General features: G+C 38.1%; 1 protein-coding gene and 1 long non-coding RNA gene across 17 annotated transcripts in view; one reads left to right on the top strand and one right to left on the bottom strand.

The window, feature by feature from the left end:
- The window catches only part of LOC101928236 (uncharacterized), a 220,247-nt gene that overhangs the window by 57,917 nt on the left and 144,900 nt on the right, over window positions 1-17,430 (bottom strand). Inside the window, exon 7 of the long non-coding RNA XR_007096141.1 lies at window positions 2,667-6,834. This is a non-coding gene — a long non-coding RNA (uncharacterized LOC101928236). The remainder of the gene's footprint in view (window positions 1-2,666; window positions 6,835-17,430) is intronic.
- VEPH1 (ventricular zone expressed PH domain containing 1) overlaps window positions 1-17,430 on the top strand; it is a 243,864-nt gene that overhangs the window by 167,576 nt on the left and 58,858 nt on the right. The window lies entirely within an intron of this gene.

Here is a 17,430-nt window from a genome sequence, read left to right as displayed (position 1 = left end):
AAGAAATGCCAGAAGGAGGATTCTACGATGCTGATTTGCATGTCAGGGTCTCGGTCCAGGAAGGAAACAGCAGGCAGAGGGAGGCTGGTAGCCATGGTGCCTAGTGGGCTATGTAGTGACTCACTCCACCGCCCTGCATGAGTCCAGCAAACAAAGGCAGTGTGTTAGGAAATGGTGTGCTTGATTGTAACAGATGCAAACTTCAAGGGTCACTGGAGTCACATATAAGAGGCTTCACTAACTCGGAGCCAATAACTCCCATCTTTTTCCCAGCAGAATATTTGGAGAATTGATGAGAAAAAAAAAGTACGCATAGTTGACTGATTTCTTTTTTGTAGAGATGGACACTTTTTGTACTCTATTCCTTCTTCTGTCCCACACTAGACACTATTTATATTCAGATCCTATATGCTGTATTCAAAGGGGAAAACATTTGGTCTTCTTGGGTTTTTACTACCACTATTCCATGATTGTCTTTCCTTTGATTTGACTACCTTTCTTCATAATAAATCTTCCTGTCTTCTCCCTCTCTTTGTTGTTCTCCTTTCCTGTCTCAGTTTTCTGTATTTGCATTTCCTTATCCCATGCACATTCCTTTCCTTCTTGTGGGGAGTTGTTTTTTGTTCTTTGTTTTTGAGATAGGGCCTCCTTGTTGCCCAGGCTGGAGTGCAGTGATGCAAACACGGCTCACTGAAGCCCCAACCCTCAGGCTCAAGCCATCCTCCCACCGCAGCCCCCAAAGTAGCTGGAACTACAAGCACAGGCCACTACACCCAGCATTTTTTTTTTTTTCATAGAGATGTGGTCCTACTATGTTGCCCAGTGGTCTACTGTATTTGAGAATGTCAAAGAAAAAAACACCTCCCAATTTCCCAGTGCCAACACACTTTGGGCTTTTTGACAGCAGCTTTTTGGAGATAATTTCATTGACTCTGAGCATTATAATATTGATGAAGGTGATAGATAATTTTAAAAAGGTGAACAAATTATTTTATTTAATCCTGGTGACAAGTCTGTAGTGTAGTTAGCACTGTCCTCATTTTATGAATGAGAAAATAGAAAGGCGAATAACCTGTCCAAGGTAATATGGCCAGTAGAAGGCAGAATCAGGACTTGGCCCTGGCTCTATGATCTTGCCACTGCTTCTTTATCCCACACTGCCTTCTCGGACATGCCATTCTCATCCCCACCTCCATGCCTTTACCCAAACTCTTGCTCCTCTAGGTGCCCGCTATTTTATTTATCTAGGCCTAGCATTCATCAGGGCTAGCCTATTTCTTACTTTCTACACCCCCGTGATTCCCAGTACTTCTCATTTGGCACTTGATCATGGATTGCTCTTTTTAAATATTCATATACTTCTGACATCTCTTTTTTAAGCTGTAAAACTCTGAATCTTTTTATAGTTTTAACACTCAGCCCAATGTCTCATCCTTGGTAAGTCCTCAGAGTATTTGTTAATGATGGTGATGCTGGTAGACATTTCCCCAGTGCAGGATAACAAATGAAATCAACCTTCCTCAAGCTTAATGGCTGTTCATGTTGTTACAGCAGCTGCATTAATGACAAGTAATCTGTAACATTTTTCAGAACTTGTACTCTAAGAGTACAATTAGCCACATGAAAATGCCTTCCTCAGAGGCTTCCAGTCTTACCTGTAGCCTGAAGAACTGAATTTCCTTAAGACTAGAATTATTTTCTAAAATTGGCTTTCAAATTCATGGTATATCCCGAGAATTGGCTGCACAAAATTAGTTGCTTTCTATTCAGTAACACCTCATTTAGCAGCAGTGACTGAAATAAAATGCCCCCTAACTTTCTCATGTCAGCCACATGATCATGAAGTCAACAGGGAATAGACGGTTGGCATCTTAGGAAAGTCAGGCTTAGTTAGTAGTTGCTAAAGGCCACTTCTAACAGGAGCGTCAATGAGTTTGATACACACTACGTGGAGTTGATATACACTATGTGGAGGTCCTATATACCCTGCACCAACATATCGGACATAATAAACCTCCTGGTAAATACATATAACTCTCCCATGAGTGTTCTTCTGATGCCTGATGGTGGCCAGCCCAGAAGGTCTTAGTTCAGAACTGCCAACCAGAGAGAGCAATGCAATGGGTGACTCACATATACATGATCTTAGGCTTATCCTTCCTTCCTCTGGGGAAAAAAAAATGTAAACGGACCCATTTTAGTGGAGTTTATTAATAGAATTTCCTAAAATTTTCTGTGCCCTATATCTGGTTACTGTTATGCATTTTGCAGAGTTGCAAAGTAATTGGTAGCACATGGAATGGTACCTGCAGGGGATCACGGCTTGCCTGCCTTATTTGCCTCTGTACAACTTTTGATAAATCTGTGCTTGGAAGAGCCAAGTGTTTATTTCTACCATATGGGCTTCCACTGACTCAGTGTGACCACAAAGTGGCTCTGTATTGTTGCCAGAAATCAACTACATTAGTGTCATGCAAATATATAGAGAGGTATGTGTGTGTATTTGATTTAAAATTCATGTAAATTCCAAAATTACTTTCATGTCTAGAAACTGTGCTAACTCCTCTGAAAATATCCCAGATTCCTTTCTGATCATGTTGACATTGACTACTTTGTATTCTTAATGTTTGGACATCTAACTTGTATTTGGCAACCATCAAGAGTACCTGGTAGGAAAAAGTTGAGGTCTTCCGAGTGAACTTCCCCTGGCGGATTTTGTGATCGGATAAGCACTGCAAAACATTCCTCATCCCAGAACTGAGTGACACTCATCACTTATTGGAAGGTGCATTCTTCCTAGGGAATACCAAAAATTCACTGGAGAACTAAAAGTATCAATATAGTCATTTAAAGATAAGTTCAATTTTCAGTTAGTTTCATAATTTATATTTTTCATTATTCCTACTTTGGGAAGTATTACTGGCCAAATTCCTGGAAATATCAGAAACAACATTGAAATCAATCCAAAAATATGAACAGCATTGCCACAATAACACTTTTCTGTAATTGTAAGCAGTCAGCCACCCAATCAGAAATGATCCTGATTTGAGTATTGTTTGTAAGCACTGCTCCTCATCTGTGTGTACAATCAGGTGACTGGAAAAGTGATGGCAAATGTCACTCTTCAGATTCACCTCCTTCATAATTAATATGACAGTTTTATTTTTAAGTTTGGACATTGTAAGAATAAGGAAATAATTATTTTAAAATATATGACCATTCCTTACAAGTTGAACACAGAATTGCCATGCCACCCAACAATTCCACTCTTAGGAATATACTCCAAAGAATTGAAAACAAGTGTTCAAACCAAAACATGTACTTGAATGTTCATAGCTGCACTATTCACAATGACCAAAAGGTAGAAACAACTCAATTGTCCATGAATGAATGAGGAGGCAAATGAAATGTAGTATATTCATATGATGGAATGTTATTTAGCCATGCAAAAAAAATGAAATACTGATGCATGCTACAACATGGATGAACCTTGAAAACATCATAATAAGTGAAAGAAGCCAGACACAGAAGGCCACTCATTATATGATTCCATTTATATAAAATATCCAGAATAGGCAAATCTATAGAGACAAAATGCAGATTTTTGGTTGCCAAGAGCTAGGAGGAGGGGAAATGAAGAATAATTGCTTAACAGATGTGGGGGTTCCATTTAGGGTGATGGAAAAGTTCTAGAACTAGATAGTGGTGATAGGTGTACAACATCATAAATGTACTTACTGCCACTGAACTGTACACTTTAAAATGGTCAAAATGGTAAATTTTATGTTACATGTATTTTACTGCAATAAGAATTTGTTTTAAATATATGACTACATATTCTGTGATAAACTCCATACTTAATATGCAGCATATCCTCCACAAATAAACACATACAATTAGTGTAATTATGGAATGGTCTGGGTTAACCCTTCTATGCCAGCAGTAGCCGCAAGCACCATGTACTGGGCAGTATTTTAAATGTTTTATTTGACCCTGTAAGGTACATATTACTATTCCCAAATTGTGAAAGTGGAAACTGAAATATAGAAAACAAAATTTGCTTAAGATCACATAACTGGCAGACCTGAGATAGACCTGAAATTTGAGCCCAGGTTGTGTAGCAGCATGGTGTTTCCTATTAGCCCCTGTACTGTGGGCTGAGCTGACCTTGTCCTGTGATAATAAAGCTTATGTACAATGGAAGTGTGCTCTCAGCTCTCAGAACAATGTTGATAAAGTTTCAGACCTTAAAGAACAGACCATTGTTATTCAAATCTGCAAGTACAACCATATTTCTATTTATCTTATTATTTATTTGCCTGATTATCATTGAACATACACAAACCATGAAAGAGCTGCAAGAAGTGTAATTCTCTCTCAGTGCAAATTTACTGTGCTATGCTAGGCTATTGCCCTGGCCAGAGGTGTCCTGCGGTCCTCTGCAGTCATCTTCTGTTGGAAGAAGAGTTAAATCCAATTTCTCAAATATATCCCGCTCTCCCTGTCTTTCATTCCTGGTGCTAGATTTAGTAAGTGAAGTGAGGTTTGGTTGAATCGTAAAGCAGAGTCTTGGCCACAAGGCATGCATGGGGCTGAAAGAAGTAAAGAATATCATAGGCATACGCAATGGGGGTAAGAAGTGTTGTATGAGAAGAGACTAACTAGAATAGAATGTCAGTCTCCCCCAAGGATCACCATACCACCTCAAATCACACTGTCCTAGGAGTGTGGCTCACTTGCATTGGATAAACAGAGCTTCTGTATTGCCGAACTCCAGACGGTATCACTTACACTGTGGCCTGTGGGAATAATGTCCCTCCTGGACTCATGTGGTGGAAAGCCTGTGTGGCTGTTAGCAATGGCCCTGCAGATGAGCCCCAGCATCCTATCTGAAGGGATGAAATTTTCAGGGCAGCAAGAGCTCCAGGACAGATGCAGTTCTTGGCTGCAAGTCATGTTTCATCCATCCAGCAAGATCCATTCAGGTGAACACAGGATATCCATGCACAGGGCCAATCTCCGGATAGGAGAGCACTAGCAGCAGCTAGGTAGGATTCAGAGGTGGCTTCTATTCCAACAAAAGGATGGGGTGGGTCCCACCAGGATAGAAGAATGAGGACCCATAGCTTACTGTTTATGTATCTCCATCTTTGTTTATTCCCAACCCAGACTATTTCCAGCCTGTTAACATAGTGGCCTCGGAACCTCAGTTAACCACCAGGCCTGCCTCCCTTGGTTCTGGATGTGGCTGGGGCAAAACCTGCCATGGGAAGGAGATTGCTGCTCTTGATAGGTGGCGAGGGCTGGCATAAGCAAGACAAGGCTCCATGATCCCTACAGCTGGAGCACGTGGTCTTTTTAGGCTCCTTACTGAAACTTAGTGCTTGAGCTACCCCTTGCCTTTTTGCCATCGAAATCCTGAGAAAGACCCTTCATTGTTTATCCCATTTGCTGCTACTTCTATCAACCCAGAAGTCCAGTCCAGGACTCAATAATAATGAAGTGTTTTATGATACAGTTTTTTCATACAGAACAATCCCAGTTACTATGTGGCTGCTCAGATGGTTGCGTGTTCATGAATGTGGAAGGCCCTCTCCTGGGGGCAACAGCTCAACAGCTTTCTGCTAAGAGATTTCCTTTGAGCAATAAGCTATCATACAGTGCAGATGGGTTTTAAGTATTTCAACTATTTTCAAGCAGGCCCTGGGTCATAAATGCCTTCATCTTGACTTTCTAATTTCCAGATTCCCTTTCACAAGAGAGGGTTCTCAGTGAAGCAGAAAAATTGACTATAGAGGTCTTGCTAATCTCAAAACACTTTATTTAATTTCAAAGTGAAGTTGTTATGATGTAAAGAATAGGGAAAATTGAACTGTGAGCTTCTTCATGCTTTTAAGAGTTTGGGATCTAAAGACTTGAAAGAAAAGAAGAGCTTTCTGAGTTGATTCCATTGCAATCCTGTCTATTAAAAGAGAGACCACCACTCAAAGTCCATTCCAGCTCTGGGACATAAGATTTTGAACTGACACCTAACATCAGAATTCCTCCACAAGGCAAATTTCTGAGCTTCTAGAGGTTCTGGGGACAATAAGACACTCCTACAGCCTCTGTTGAATTAATGTTGCCTTCTCATCCCGAAGTTCATGCTACCCTGTGGACCACTGGGAAATAGTCAGTTGAGGCAGAGGTAATTCAACTCTATTAAATTTTTACTTTAGTTTTTCGATGGATCTTTCTGTTTCCTTCAATAGGACAAAATATATAACCAGCTGTTTCCAATTTACTGCTAGAAGGTTGAGTTTCTGGAAGCTGAATAACATTACTAGTCATTATTTTATGACTTTTCATCTGAGCAGCAGTAAGAAAGTGAAAGTAAAACTAATTAATCAGAAATAGTAAAAAAAAAAAGGCAACTCTGTTTAATATTAATTATGATGATTGATGTCATCATCATTGGATTTTAGGTCACATAAAAATGAAATAAGTTATACATGAAGACAACTTGAAAGAAGCAATAAATGAAACTAAGATTTCAAAGATATATTGACCTCTATCATGTAAAGCATGAATTTATAGAAAAATAATTTTATGATTATGACATTTGCTTTTACTGTAGATGTTCTGGTTTCCATGGCTAACCTGACAGAGGCAATTTATTTCCTTGAGTTGTTCTTCGATTCCTGTTGCCTTCAGTTCAGGTGGTTCCCACTGGAAAACAGTAATATCTTGAGCTGGGATTTGATGGGTCAATCACTTGGGCTTCTCTCAAGAGAGGTTTGGGCATGGATGGGAATGTGCCACATAACTCATTCAGTTATACGATAAAGATAAAAACTGCAATAAATACCAAAAGCAAATTATCAACAAGTCTCTACATACAGAATAAATGAAAGTGATATATAATTTATAAGATTTAAATCATTAAAAATAAATGGGTATAAATTAAATCCCTCTTCGACTTAAAAGGGGGGACTAATAATTGCTGCTTCATCTAAGCATAACCTATGTAAGCTGCAGAGTATAACGGGCACTAGAGTCAAACAGTCTAGATTTGTCTGGACTGCCAGTTGCTAGCCATGTGACCTTAGATAAATTACTTGACATCTTTGAGCCTCAGATTCTTCCACAAAACTGGAAGTGTCTACTTCATTGGCATGAGTATTAAATGGCAATACACACATAAAACTCTTAGAACATTGCCCAGTACTTAAAAACTAATCAATTAATGTTAGCTTTTTTTATCTTCCTGCCACGAAGCTTTGAATAGAGCAAAATATCAAGCCTTTCCTGAGCTTCCTGGTGGCATTCCTGCAACATTTCTGTGCTTCTGAGCCTCAAAACGACATGTACATCAAAAGTCTCACTTGCACATATCTTAACAGTCCTAGGACTTTGGAGACGCTCAGAGAGCAAGTGATGGTTTCATGCATTGTTATGAGGTTTTCTTTCTTGCTGGACCTTCTACTTGTGCCCTGTCCCCAGAGAAATTTATTCTCATTGTATAGAATGGGATTTTGGCTTACACATCATTATTAGCTGTGTAGTAAGTTCATTTTAAAATAAGCAATTAGGTGAACATTTCAGGACACTGAGCAACCTAGATGCCAAGGGTCATTATGCAGTCTCTTTCCTCTAATTAAAATAGCATTACAGCAACATTCAAACATTTCCACCTGGCCTAGGGATCCTTTTTTTTTCTTTTTCCATATACAATAGTAGCAGTAACAGTGATCATGATAATGAACATTATTAAACACATGCTCTGTGCCAAGCACATGTCTGTCTGAGAGCCTTACATGAATTAACTCTTTATGCTCACATAACTAACTCATTCCACTTTGTCCAGCACTTTCCTAGTGACAGCACTGGAAGACTTGCATTTCAGGAGCCACTCTAATCTCAGGCAAATCGGGATGGCCGGTCACCCTAAACAACACTTAGAAATAGGAGCTCTTATTAGTGTTCCCAATTGAGCCACAGAGAGGTTATGTAACTTGCCCAAAGACACACAGCTGGTAAATAGGAAAGTCTCGCTCCAGAATCTGTGTTCCTAACCACCACCTTGGAGAAGAATTGAACTTTGGATAAGGGATCAGAGAAGTTGGCTTTAGAGTGGCTTCTGAGAGGAAGGGCTCTTTGTTCCCTCTCTCAGGGCAGAAACATTGCTTGTGAGAGCATCCAAGGCTCTTCAACACCTGATTTGAATAGGTTAATGGGCAAGTCGTACTCTGTTCTTTAATAGTAACATAAAGCAGCAAGCAGGCACAAGTTTTTAACAGTTTTCATATAAGAAATTTGCAAGTCTATATGCACCAAGGGACACTACATACCACTGTGTGTTATTTGATTTCGCCCTCACATGCAAACCCTCAACGTCCTCCTACAGCTCACTCCCCATCCTCTACCCTTTGCTGTGTGACTCTTATAAGTGTTTCTAAAGTTCCCTGATTCTTTAGGACAAGATTTCTTTCTCCACCTGAGTCGTCTTCTTCACTGTACCATAGTTTTATTCTCCATGATTACTTTTTCACTTATTGTAATATTATAAAATTTATTTTATATTACAACTTAGATTTGCAGAGAAAATGTGCCATCATTATGTCTAGAGCTGATCAAGAGCAACCAACCACTGGGTAGTGAGGAAGAAAATTAAGAGTCCCTGCCTAAAGTTAATCCCAACTGCTCATTTGAATGGTACTTTAGGAGACAATCTTTCCTTTGGATAAAAATGTTCTTTCTCTCATCTCTCCTATGCTTATCTCCCTAAGGTGGCATCTGGGAGCATTAGGAAGTGGCTCCTGCTCCCTTGTGGTGGTGGAAAGCATTAATGTCCCTGGATAGGGGTGTGGTGTGTCTTCTTGCCTGAAGGATAATGGTTTTTTTTCACTCTACACATGGGCCGGTCCAGGGGTCTCCCTTGCCAATCTGACCTCATCTCAGTGCCCACTGGTGTGAGATGCCCCTCTTGAGTCCTGGCTTGGACAATTCTCTCTGCAGTCTACTGTGCAGAGCCACACCATACTCCTTGCCTCACTATGGTGAATTCTCTGAAATGCTGACCAGCAAGATCCTCAGCTACTACTGGCTCCACTCTACTCCATAACAGAGGAAAGAGTGACCATGAAAGCTGAACCTCAGAGATTCCTTTCTGTCTGGCTTCAGGAGCTGTGCTTTTAATTAAGTTGGCTACCCTGTGTTGGTGCTGAGGGCCACCTGGGAGTGAATCTTCAGCGGTGACCATTGCCCATGGTGTTACCATAATGTATCTAATATACTTCTCCTTCTCCAGGCCAAAGCCCAAATGTGAGGGAAGTCAGGACCCACTTCTGATGGCTTTACACTTCTCTGTCTCTCTCCTTCTCTCCATAATTTTCCTTGCCAGAACTAAAACCTGTTCTCTTTTACTTGTTCCATTCTATATTCTCCTACCTAACAACCATAGAACTGACCAAGCTGTCACCCTCTTCATACTACAGGTCCTACAATGTATATCCTCCATGTTCAGGAATGATAGGCTAAAGGGAGGTAAGGAAATTTAGAAAATTCCTTCTTGAGACAAAAGCCTCACTTGCAAGGCTATTATCTTGCTGCATAACCCAATTTTGGCAGTTAAAAAAATTAATTCCATTTTACTTTTTTGGTACTCCTATAACTGTTGAATATCTACTCTATCACCATTCCCACCATCACTCGACAGCCAGATAGGTGGAGACTTAACTGGATTCAGGCAAAGGCTATGTACTCAGAAGGCAAAAAAGAAAAACATATTTAAAATCATAAATGTTAGCCCTGTTACATGGTAATTAGTGAGACATCATTTAAATTGTTTGCTTAAATCCCAGGATACAAAAGTAGTGCTCAAAAATCACTTGCATTCCTATACACCAACAACAGGCAAGCCAAGAGCCAAATCATGAATGAACTCCCATTCACAATTACCACAAAAAGAATAAAATACCTAGGAATACAGCTAGCAAGGGAAGTGAAGGACCTCTTCAAGGAGAACTACAAACTGCTGCTCAAAGAAATCGGAGATGACACAAAGAAATGGAAAAACATTCCATGGTCATGGATAGGAAAAATCAATATCATGAAAATGGCCATATTGTCCAAAATAATTTATAGATTCAATGCTATTCCCATTAAACTACCATTGACATTCTTCACAGAATTAGAAAAAACTATTTTAAAATTCACCTGGAACCAAAGAAGAGCCTGAATAGCCAAGACAATTCTAAGTAAAACGAATAAAGCTGGAGGCACCCAATTTCAAACTATACTACAAGGCTACAGTAACCCAAACAGCATGGTACTTGTACAAGAACAGACATACAGACCAACAGAACAGAATAAAGAACCCAGAAATAAGACTGCACACCTATAACCATCTGGTCTTTGACAAACCTGACAAAAATAAGCAATGGGGAAAGGATTCCCTATTCAATAAATGGTGCTGGGAGAACTGGCTGGCCATATGACGAAAATTGAAACTGGACCCCTTCCTTACACCTTATACAAAAATCAACTCAAGATGGATTAAAGACTTAAATGAAAAACCCAAAACTATCAAAACCCGAGAAGAAAATCTAGGCAGGACCATTCAGGACATAGGCACAGGCAAAGATTTCATGGCAAAGATGCAAAAAGCAATTGCAACAAAAGCAAAAATTCACAAATGAGATCTAATTAAACTAAAGAGCTTCTGCACAGTAAAAGAAACTATCATCACAGTGAACAGATGATCTACAGAATGGGAGAAAATTTTTGCAATCTATCCATCTGACAAAGACCTAATATTCAGCCTCTACAAAGAACTTAAACAAATTTACAAGAAAAAAAAACAAACAACTCCATTAAAAAGTGGGCAAAGGACATGAACAGCCACTTCTCAAAAGAAGACATACATGCAGCCAACAAACATGAAAAAAAGCTCAATGTCACTGATCATTAGAGAAGTGCACATCAAAACCGCAGTTAGATACCATCTCACACAAGTCAGAATGGCTATTATTAGAAAGTCAATAAAACAACAGATCCTGATGAGGTTGTGGAGAAAAGGGAATGCTTTTACACTGTTGGTGGGAGTGTAAATTAATTCACCCATTGTGGAAGACAGTGTGGCAATTCCTCAAAGACCTAGAGGCAGAAATACCATATGACCCAACAAACCCATTACTGGGTATATGCCCAAAGGAATATAAATAATTCTATTAAAAATATACATGCACGTGTATGTTCATTGCAGCGCTATTCACAATAGCAAAGACAGAATCAACCTAAATGCCCATCAGTGACAGACTAGACAAAGAAAATTTGGTACATATACACCATGGAACACTATGTGGCCATAAAAAAAAAAAAACAAGATCATGTCTTTTGCAGGGACATGGATGGAGCTGGAGGCCATTACCCTCAGCAAACTAATGCAGGAACAGGAAACCAAACACCACATGTTCTCACGTATAAAAAGGAGCTGAATTATGAGAACACATAGAGGGAAGCAACACATACTGAGGCCTGTTGGAGGGTGGGGAGGAGGAGAGAGAGCATCAGGAAGAATAGTTAGTGGATGCTGGGCTTAATACTTAGGTGATGGGATGACCTCTGCAGCAAACCACCATGCCACATGTAACAAATCTGCACATCCTGCACATGTACCCCTGAACTTAAAAATATGGGCACAGTGGTTCATGCCTGTAATCCCAGAACTTTGGGAGGCTGAGGTGGGCGGATCACCTGAGGTCAGGAGTTCAAGACCAGCCTGGCCAACATGGTGAAACCCCATCTCTACTAAAACTACAAAAAAATTAGCCAGGCATGGTGGCGCATGCCTGTAATCCCAGCTACTCAGGGAGTGCTGAGACAGGAGAATCCTTGAACCTGGGAGGTGGAGGTTGCAGTGAGCTCAGATTGCACCACTGTACTCCAGCCTGGGCAACAGAGTGAGATTCTGTCTCAAAAAATACAGATAAATAAATTGCCTGCTTTAACAAATAGCACTTTTTCATTGTATATTTTTAAATTATGTAAGTAATACATAAATATAAACTGATAAGGAGAGAATTAAAATAATACAGAAGTATATGAAGTAAAATGTGCATGCTCCTCACCCCACTCCCACTTCTCAATATGAAAGTAATCACTGTCGATGGTTGATCTATAACTTTACAGACCTTTTCTTATGCTTTTATATATGTTTTCACATAACAATACAAAATTTTTATTTTTTTCCTCAAAATCAGGGTCAAAGCATAGGTCTTTGTACACCTATGGCTTGTATATTTCTGAATATATAATTACCAAATTTGTGTTATTAAAGTAATCACTTGCAAAAGAATTGTTTTATTCTCTGGATAAGTCAAAACAAAAGCATCCAACATGCCCATTTGACAACTGGCTGGATTTTTGCCACAATGGGGAAATGAGCATAGTACTTTTGCTCTGGGTAGGGACGTCCCACACATATGCATGTGATATAGCCAGGGGCCCACCAGCTGCTGTAAAGGGAACACATATTTCTCAACTAATACTGTTGTAAATAGAACTTAGTAAACACTAGGCAAGTCCTCTTTTCCATTACCTACGTGTCCTAGATTCTCAACAAATGAGAGATTTGGCAGTTTTTCCTTCAGTGCAGGTCAGTTCAACAACTCACACTTCTGAACACCTTCTACAGAACCGAGCTCTGAAAACATCAAATGATTAAAGCAGTGTCCACTCATGAATAATTATTTGATGTAATTTCAAACAGTTATTTCAAATTCATTATTATTTTTGAGAATCTAATTTTGTTTTTACCTTAAAATATCTTTTCTTCTATTTACTCCATCAAAGTTATGAAATAATTGCTGTTCTATTCAAAACTTCTAAACTTTAACTTGGAGGTGAGGAGGAATAGAGTTTTAGTCTAAAATACTAATATATTTTACAAATCACATGGAATCAAAGTTTTACAAGTGGTCCACACTGGCTTGTGATGCCTTCTTCCATTTTTTTCAGTCAAAAGCAATGGTATTTTAAAGTAATGAGTTTGTTCTGCACTTTTTCCCCAAATTGGAACTTATGGTTGACTTCAAAAACATACTTTATTTTACCTACTTTTGGAAAGCTCTCATCAGACAAATTACCAGTTCCATTTTCTTCTACTTTTTTTTCCTGTCCAATTTAGGACATTCATACAATTAAATGACAGTATTATTTATTCATTGCGTCAATGTTTTGAATTTTTTGTCTTTGAAATACAATAAAGAAGAATTAAATGGAAAATGAAGGAAATTGCTTCAAGGGTTCCTGTCACGCTAGTGTCAAGTAGGCAGAAGAAAACTCCTCCTGTTGTCATCTAGCTTGTCGTGAGTGCCAAGTGCAAGCCCTCATAGCCCTGAGCAAATGTCCAGCCCTGCTCTGGACAGCCCTCACAGACACATTTCTTCACAGGCCTCTGTAGGCCATTAGTAAATTGTAGAATTTCAGAGATAAAAATTTCATTTCTAATACGAAATTTCCTCAAAAAATCTAAACATAGAATTACCATATGATCCAACAATGCCACTTCTTTGTATATACCAAAAAGAATTTAAATCAGAGCCTCAAAGAGATATTTCCATACTCATGTTCATAGTAGCATTATTCACAGTAGCCAAAAGGTATGAACAGCCCAAATGTCCATCAACAGAAAAATGAGTAAACAAACCATGGCATATACATACAATGGAAAATAATTCAGCTTTAATAAAGAAATGAAATTCTGACCCATGCTACCATGTGTATGAACATTGAAGATATTATGCTAAGTGAAATAAGCCAGAACAAAAGAACAACTATTATATGATTCTACTTGTATGAGGTACCTAGAGTAGTCAAATTCATAAAGACAGAAAATAGAGTGGCTGGTTGCCAGGGGCTCAGGGGAGAGGAAGATGGGGAGTTACGGTTTAATGGGTATAGGGTTTCAACTAGGAAGGATGGAAGAGTTCTGGAGATGGATGGTGGTGATGTTTGCACAACAATGTGAATGTATTTAATGCCAGCGAATTGTGCACCTAAAAATGGTTTAAATTTTAAACCATATTATCCATAAAGTGGTAAATTATATAAAACGTAAAACATAAATTATATGTTTTATATAATTTACCACAATAAAAAATCATTACCCTCATGGAGCTCACAATCTAGGAGAGAAAGTTAATAAGCAAATTAAAATGTAAAAATCATTTAAGTAGATGAGCTTTTTTTGTTTGTTTGTTTGTTTGTTTCATTCTGGATCAGCTTTTGGTCTGCTCCCACTTTAAAGATAAGAAACTCAAGGACAGAGAGGAAAAGAAACACAATCTACCCATAAAACTCTGTCCGAATCCTCAGCCAATGCTCTTTCTATTGAATTATACTTCTTTTTGAGGTACTTCTATTACCTCTGTTTTATCTGAGCCATTCACTCATGTACTAGAAAGAGAATAGGCTCTGGCATCTGGGTTCAAATTTCAGCTCAGCTGCTTCCTGGAAGTTTGATCTTGAGATTTCCTCTTCAGTAAGATGGAGATAACAAAGCCTGCTTCATAAAGATGAAATGTAATTGGTTACACTTACATCTGGGTACAAAGTAAGGAGTCAGTGAAAATTAGTTCCTTTCCTAAATCTCTCAAAATGGCTTCTCTGAGTTTGTTGTTTATTTATAAGCTATGTTCAGTGTGTAAATACTTATAGTCTGGCAGTTTCAGCAAACATATTCATGTGTTTGAGCTTTTATAAATCATTGTAGAAATACAGTTTCTACAATGCTCAGTTGAACACCCTGGGAAATAAGCCAGATACATTTATCTGACCTTTATTTCACTGGGAGGGAAATTTCAAAGGATAAGTTTTGTAAAGAATTCAAAATGAGACCTAATTTATTCTTTTTTTCCAAAACATAAAGCCAATTCTTTGATATTTCTACTAGCTATTAAAAAATCAAAGCCATATTCCATTTTTAATCTTAAGACACTTATCTCTAAACCAAAAAATATATATATATAATGGCATAGGTTATGAGTGGCCACCTGAGAAATAGGTTATAAGTGTCTAGTCTCCCAAGAAGAACGATGTGTTTCTCAGATACTGTCTAGTGAATGCCTTGCAGGAATAACGGCATATAAATGGCATCGTGGAGGAGGAGTGGCAGAAGAAACAAAGAATTCCAAAATGATTCTTAAAGATTTTGACTCAAAGAAGACCAAATATTCTTGTATTTTTGTATCATGTCTTTAAATTTATTTATCTGTGTAATATATTTGGTATTTTAACACATAACACATTATATTGTATAATTACTTATGTTCATGTTAACTTTAGTCTTTATAAAGACCAAACCAAATCCTTTGATTATTAGAAAAAGAAGCCACATTCCAATAAAAATAAAGAAACTACTCTCAGATTTGGTTGAATATGGAAAGCATTCTATATTTAAGACAGCATGACTTCTCTCTTCAACATTTAGTCTAGAAAAATGAATAATCCTTTTGGCATCAATTATACAATTATATAAGTAATATTTCAATGACTGAGATAAACTAAACATACTATCTGGAATTACCTTAAACATTTATGTTTATGTGATTGCTTTCAGGGTTCTCTACACCTAAAGTGCTTGTTTCTCTCACACTTTAAGTTCAAAATCTTGATCATTTTTCAAAGTATACCTCAAATATCTCCTTCTCCATGAAGCCTCCCCTTGTTCCCCAGTCAGAATGAGTTGCTTATTTCTGTGAGCAGTCATTATTATGTGTCCCTCCATTATCTCATAAACTTAAAACAACTTATAACCATTGTTGTAAGTTCAGATGTTTCTCCCATTTGGCTGCAAGCTTCTTAAGAGCAGGACCATCATCATGGCCCCTATTGCTCTCAACACATATCTGACACTCATCCATTCATTCATTCATCCAACAACAATTTATTGCATTCCTGCTGTTTGATACTATGGAATAAACAGGAGGGAAATACAGGAAAAATTAACAACTAAGTCTTAATGTCATGGGGAGAATTTTGCAAGCCAAGAAAGCTCTGAAAAAAATAAGGATAAAAATATTGGTACAGACCAGATGTACTGAAAGCATTCACAGAAGCCTTATATCACAGAACTGATGTATTTTTATAGCCAGTGTATATGCTTCTAAGTTAAGAATCTCTCTCTTATACTACTTTGACCATTTTATGTGATCTGAGACTCCTGTGGGTTGTGTATAAAAAGCTGGTAGGCTCAGAGTGAGTGAAATAAATCTAATCAATGTTTATTTTCAAAAGAAAACATGAATTGGCAGTAAAAATTTAGAGGGAGGAAAAAGACAGAAACTATTTTTTCATGATAAAGGCCTAAAGTCCAACTTACAACTCTCAAGCTAACTACATGAATTCTTGGAAAAGAAAACTTGTTTCCTTTTGAAACTTTCCATTAAAACAAAACATATTGCTATCTCAATATATATGTTACACTTAGATTTATTTCAAATACCATTTTTTGTATGTGCTCTTGAGATAATAGGTTTCCTATTTCTTTACCATAAATTAAATTCAATTTTTCCGAGCATATGTGCCAACTTAAAAAAAGTATATCATTGTCAAACAATTTCTGATAGGGCAATTTTAAGTTGATATTATGCTCCATTCTATTCTCCCAGGTCTTTCTCAGTGCCAGACCTCCTGGTCTTGTCCACTGAGGCTTCAAGCACTCTTTACATCTCATGATTCATTCGCCCACAGAATACAGACATGATTTCTGATTTTATACAAGAACACTGTATGTTCAACTTAAATCTTTTTAATTTCCTGAAACAATTACCTTCACAAAAACTAGTCCTCTTCTGTACCAATGTTTCAGAATCACAGAAAGCTATTAATTATTAACATTTCTGTATATATCTCTAACTTGCCCTGTCACATTATTGTTTGGTTTCCAAGACCTTCTCCTCTAATCTCTCATTGGCCGCTCTAAGATTTTTCAAACTTTTCCTGAAAGCCTGTCACTTCCTTCATACCTGACCTCTGATAGAGCACAGACAAGTCTTCCTCCCCCATTCTCTAGAGAATTCAACAACACTCTGTCTTAGGTGGGGACTGACTCTGTCGCCCGTACTAGGATCCTTATCAGCTTTTATTATTTTGTTTGTTTGCTTTTAGAGACGTGGTCTCACTATATTGCCCAAGATGGCCTTGAACTCCTGGGCTCAGGGATTCTCCCACTCCTGCCTCCCAAGTAGCTAGTATTAACAGGTGTGTGCCACTGTGCCTGGCTTTTCTCATCGACTTTCAACTAACTCTAGTCCATTTCCATTGTAAGAGTAGGGCATACTGGATCACTGAATCTATTAATTTTCTTTCTTTCTTTCTTTCCTTTTCTTTCATTCTTTCTTTCTTTCTTTCTTTTTTTTTTTGTTTTGTTTTGTTTTTTTGGGACGG

The sequence above is a fragment of the Homo sapiens genome, chromosome 3 (assembly GCF_000001405.40).
Source record: "Homo sapiens chromosome 3, GRCh38.p14 Primary Assembly".
Lineage (NCBI taxonomy): Eukaryota > Metazoa > Chordata > Mammalia > Primates > Hominidae > Homo > Homo sapiens.
This window is presented reverse-complemented; position numbering and strand designations above follow the sequence as displayed.